Raw genomic sequence first — 6,000 nt, 5'->3', positions numbered from 1 at the left:
AAGGCTCAAAAAATGAGCTATGTAAAGTGAAGTCCGGACAGGATTGATTGCAGTTCCCTGGAAGAGAATCGCTTCAGAAATTTGATTCATACAGAATGAGCTTTCTTGAGAATTTCCACAACTGCGGCTTAAATGCTGTGAGTTGCTTAACAGAAAATATTAAACTTGTACTCAGTAGGCTTCCGGGACACCCACTTGGCAGCCTTTTCAGGGTCAACAGGGCAACTTCCGGCAGTTGAGATTACGTTCTCATAAAAAGGTGTAGGGAATCACAAGGAAGCTGTGCACATGGGTCTGGATTAATAGCAATTGTAGCCTGTGGAAGGTTGCCCCCCGTAGCAACTAGGATACCTTTGGTTATGGTCCTGAAGTTAACCATTGGGATTTTATTAGAAGTCTTAACTTTAACTGGCTGTGTGGCTTCAGGTTTATCACTTAACTTCTTTGCACCTCAGTTTCTTCATGGATATGTGAAGAGATATGGTGAGGTATTCTTTAAGTTCTCGACCTATGACTCTGCAATGGAAATGGAAGCACAGTCAATAAAGATATATTTGACTAACCCACTAACACCTTTTTATAAATGCAAAATCAGAATTTCTGCAATGATATAGTTTATTCATTTATAAAAAACCCTATTCCATGATTATAGAATGAGAACTGGAAATGAGCTAATTTGGGTTTGTAATGTATTCATTCGTATGTGTTTGACTTTTAAGAGAAAGAAGCAAATCCAAAGAAATAAATTATAAAAAGCAACCATCCCCAAATCCATTTTCAGGGCCAAGCATAATTCAGTTGTAGCTCCTATAGTTTTCACATCTTTAATACGTTATGGTTATAATTGATGCTCAGTAATATGTCCCTAAAATATCAAACACAGATGAAATTACTTTAACTAGGCTATACTTAGAAGTAAAATGTATCAATATATTATATATCCTTGCTGCTATATTTTAGAAAGCTTTTTGATCATATTTACAAATCAAATGGGTTTCCTGTAAAACTTTAAAGAGAAAATTCAATTTATTCGACCAGAGTTTGATGAGCAGTATTTCACTGTACTTTCAATAATAATCTTTGTGCATTTAGGCAAGTCATTTCACCTCTCTGATAGTCAATTTCCTTACACAAATACAGGGTAATAGAAGAGGCAATGCCTAAGGTACTTTTTTTTATCTTTAATGTTTCAAGTCAAGTCCTCTACTTCCTCTTTCTCCTATTTAAAAGATCCTTGCAGTTATTTTTATTCTGACCCTCCCAAAAAACCTCCCTCTCCCCCACTACAGTCTCTTTATTACCCAGGGATAATATTATATACTTGCATTTGCAGTGACAGGCTAAGGAAGTGATAACTGCTCTTCCCCTGTACTCCCTGCAGAGACCTATTCATCACCTCCATAATACCTGGCCACAAAACAGACAGAGAATAGCAGATAAGAAATGCAGATGGCTGAAACCTGAGTTAGTTGCCTAACATGTGGCTGACATTTTTAAGAAATTTAATTGATGGTGAGCATTTTTTCATGTGTTTTTTGGCTGCATAAATGTCTTCTTTTGAGAAGTGTCTCTTCATGTCCTTCGCCCACTTTTTGATGGTGTTGTTTGTTTTTTTCACCATCACTGGCCATCAGAAGAAATGCAAATCAAAACCACGATGAGATACCATCTCACACCAGTTAGAATGGCAATCATTAAAAAGTCAGGAAACAACAGGTGCTGGGGAGGATGTGGAGAAATAGGAACACTTTTACACTGTTGGTGGGACTGTAAACTAGTTCAACCATTGTGGAAGTCAGTGTGGCGATTCCTCAGGGATCTAGAACTAGAAATACCATTTGACCCAGCCATCCCATTACTGGATATATACCCAAAGGACTATAAATCATGCTGCTATAAAGAGACATGCACACGTATGTTTATTGCAGCACTATTCACAATAGCAAAGACTTGGAACCAACCCAAATGTCCAACAATGATAGACTGGATTAAGAAAATGTGGCACATATACACCATGGAATACTATGCAGCCATAAAAAATGATGAGTTCATGTCCTTTGTAGGGACATGGATGAAATTGGAAATCATCATTCTCAGTAAACTATCGCAAGAACAAAAAGCCAAACACCGCATATTCTCACTCATAGGTGTGAATTGAACAATGAGAACACATGGACACAGGAAGGGGAACATCACACTCTGGGGACTGTTGTGGGGTGGGAGTGGGGGGAGAGATAGCATTGGGAGATATACCTAATGCTAGATGACGAGTTAGTGGGTGCAGCGCACCAGCATGACACATGTATACATATGTAACTAACCTGCACGTTGTGCACATGTACCCTAAAACTTAAAGAAGTATAATAATAATAAAAAAAAAGAAATTTAATTGATCAAATACCTAGCAAGTATATGATAGGCTAGAGCCCTTGACCCCAAGAAATCTATACTCTTTTTAAAACATCTAGCCCAAAATGTCAGAAATGTATAATCTTAAAAAAGGAAATTAGTACTGATCTACCTGAAATATTAAGAGAATTCTTAAATGCCAAACTATGCAACTAACCATAATTGCCTTAGAAGTGCATGGAAGGGAGAAATGTGGGTTTGAAATAGTCAGCAGAGTTTGATGGAAAAAAACTCAATCTGCAGAGCATCTTTAAGGAAGAATAATATCTATGATTCTTTAACGCATTAATTCATTCAACAAATATTTAGTGTCCATTGATGCATTGAACTTTTCTAAGCTCTGGGAATACAGTAGTGAACAAAATGGGAAAACATCTTTGCCCACATAGAGCTTGCATTCTAATACAGACAAGTAAGAAAAAAAATCTATAAGTAAAAATATATTCCATGATAATAAGTACTGTGGAATTAAAAGAATATTTAGGTTAATAATGTAGGCATAGAGAATGCTCTAAAAAGTAATGTAATCAGACAGTATCAAGCTAACTCTCTCATTTTATAAATGAGGAAGCTGAGGTTCAGAGGAGTTATGTAACATAGCAAAGTCAGCTTGTTTATTAGCAAAAACAGAATAAAATCCAGACCTCCCATCTTCTAGTCTAGGGTTCTTTCCACTACGCACTCACCTCTTAGCTAATCAAGTCACACAGTGACAGAGGTAGAAGTGAGCAGAATTTGTGTGGGACCCAATGGGGCAGGCACTTTATTTTGGGGAGAAGTGGGAAGATATGTTTAGATGGAAAAGACAGAGCCAAATCTTAAAAACCAAATAGAAAAGTTTGGATTTGATGTGGTGATAGGAAAGACATGAGTAAAATTATCCTTAGATAATTTTGAAAATGTTTAGTTGATTACTAATACACCAGATCAACAAATGTGTCTCTTGTGTGATTACTCTCTTCTCCATTTCCTCCTCCCCTTGACATAGCTCCCTGAGAAAGAACTCCTTGGGGTAATCTTGCTTACCATCAGGTAGAGCCGTACAGTTTTCTGAGACTATCAAAGATACTATGCTATGGTTTTTCTTGAAAGTAGAAATAAAGCATTTTGGATAAACACAAATATTTTATTGCAGCTCCACATTCAGAGATTAAAATGCTGGTGAAATGAAAGTTGCTTGGGAACTAAATTTAGACATTCGATTTGGATAAAATTAGCAAGTTGAATCAGATACAAATTGAGAGATGCCGTTACTCATAATTTCATCATAAACTGGGGGTTAAGTACTTAAGCTCCTTCAGGACCCAATACATAAATTATAAACCAGAGCATAGATTTCCTTAAGTGCAGCAGTCATTACTGCTGATTCATTTTCATTTCAAGTTTCTAACAACTAAGGGAGAGAGAAGGTGGTGGGAGGGAGAGAGAGAAAGAGAGACAGAGAGCTAGAGAGAGAGGAGCTACCAATGAACTGCCCACAAAATTCACAAGGATTTACTTGCAGATAGAAAGATGCCATAACAGTGATGTAGATGTAGAAATAGCTTTTGTTTTTTACTTTTCTTTGAGAAAGAATAATAGCTTCAAGTAGGAAGAAAATATATATGTTAGAATACTTAACACAAATTTAACAATCAGAAAATTATCAAATAGGGCAAATAAATCTTACTGTTGTTGCTGAAATATGCAGATATGGGTGCTTACTTTGGCCTAAATCTAAGGCATGTCTTATTTTGGGATGTGATGGGTATTTTAAAGCCTCCAGGAGCTTGTGTATAAGGTTATAACCAGGGGATTATAAGCCTTTATCATCTGAGGGTCATGGAATACATTCAAGAACCTAACTATGTATTTTGGGCCCCAAGCAAAGCTTTAGAAAATGTTCCAAGACTATGACCGTTAATTCCAAACAGGTATTAAGTGCAATATAGGGGCTACTTAGATTTTTATGTTCTATTGTTAGGATTGGGGTGGGGATGTTAGATCTAATACTGTTTTGTAGGTCATTGCCTATGGCAAATTTCCTACCAAGGACTAGAATCACTTGCATAATCAATACAAAAAAACCTATTCCCTAACAAGAAGATCCCTTCTACACATTCACTTTATTTCAGGCTTCTGGTCACCTTGGGGTTAATGATCCATGAAACAAAGATGACTCTAACAGTAAGAAAGATATCCATCACTGAATTTAAGTACGCTGTAATGGGGTCAAAAGAGGAGTCACCCTCAACCTTTCATCCAGATCACACAGAATATACACAGAAAGATTCAGGTGTGAGTCACATGGGAGCATACACAGCAAGGTTCAGGCACAAGGTAGACATTCACGACTTGGTAAGTCTTCAAAGTTTTTCCTCCCCTCCCTTTGGCATAAACATGCCAAGTGTTTATGTCTGTGTGTTAGGTCATTCTTGCATTGCTATAAAGAAATATGTGAGACTGGGTAATTTATAAAGAAAAGAGATTTAATTGGCTCATGGTTCTGCAGGCTGTACAGGAAGCATGGCACCAGCATCTGCCTGGCTTCTGGAGAGAGGCCTCAGTGACTTTCAAATCCTGGTGGAAGGCGAGGCAGGAGTAGGCACTTCACATGGTGAAAACAGAAGCAACAGAATGAGAGAGTTTGCGGGGAGGTGCCATACACTTTTAAATGACCAGATCTCATGTGAACTCAGAGCTAGAGTTATTACCCAGGGAATTGACCAAGCCATTCATGAGAGATCCACCACCATGATCAAAACACCTCCCACCTGGCCCCACCACCAACATTGGGGATTACAATTCAACATGAGATTTGGCAGGGACATACATTCAAACGATATCAGTATCAGATAACTGAATATATATGAGGGAAGTGTTTTGATACTTTAAAAACCCTCTCAGGCATCTATATGATGTTACATAGCTCTCTTGCTGACTCATGATAACGGTTCTGAGTGGCTAAGAAGTGATTTCAATCCATTTACTCTGTTCAAAGGTAAGTAAGGATGTATTATAATAAAATGGATAAGGCAAAAAACTTGTGTATTCAAAGAGGTAAATTTTAGCTTTCTAGAAAAACCATTTATATGAAGTGCTTCATTCCAAGATGAGGACAATTAGCAATATTTAACATTGCACATTTGCTACATATTCAGCAAAGGGGAAGGCACTACGAGGGACTCCAGTAGGTGCCAAAGGATGTGAAAACCGACACCAGGGCCTTGAAAAATTTGTTCTGTCTTTGCCAGCATGTGAGATATTAGCGACATGATATTTCTTACTCCTGTAGAGTGGCAAGGGCAGTAAAGACAGGCAGGGTTGTGTGCTTGGTGTGCCACATTAGAAATCTGAGTGCATTCTCCTGATGGTTGTTAGATTCTTCAATAAGGGAGGACTTACTTTTCTAGAGATAAAATCTTATAAATAATCATAAATTTCCAAGACTGGCTCACACTAATCTTTTTATTTCATCATATACTAGAGGTCCTGAGTTCTAGGATGCCCACTTAGTGTAAAGCTTTTTTATTGCTAAAACAACTGATTCAAACCACTAATACTCTAAGGGTCTTGAGAAAGTTGGAATCCAGATGATCAGTAGAAGACAGG

General features: G+C 37.5%; 1 long non-coding RNA gene across 1 annotated transcript in view; it reads right to left on the bottom strand.

The window, feature by feature from the left end:
- Positions 1-447: 447 nt before the first annotated feature.
- The window catches only part of LOC105374737 (uncharacterized), a 31,257-nt gene continuing 25,704 nt past the window's right edge, over positions 448-6,000 (bottom strand). Inside the window, exon 3 of the long non-coding RNA XR_925942.3 lies at positions 448-516. This is a non-coding gene — a long non-coding RNA (uncharacterized LOC105374737). The remainder of the gene's footprint in view (positions 517-6,000) is intronic.

This window comes from Homo sapiens, chromosome 5 (assembly GCF_000001405.40).
Source record: "Homo sapiens chromosome 5, GRCh38.p14 Primary Assembly".
NCBI lineage: Eukaryota > Metazoa > Chordata > Mammalia > Primates > Hominidae > Homo > Homo sapiens.
This window is presented reverse-complemented; position numbering and strand designations above follow the sequence as displayed.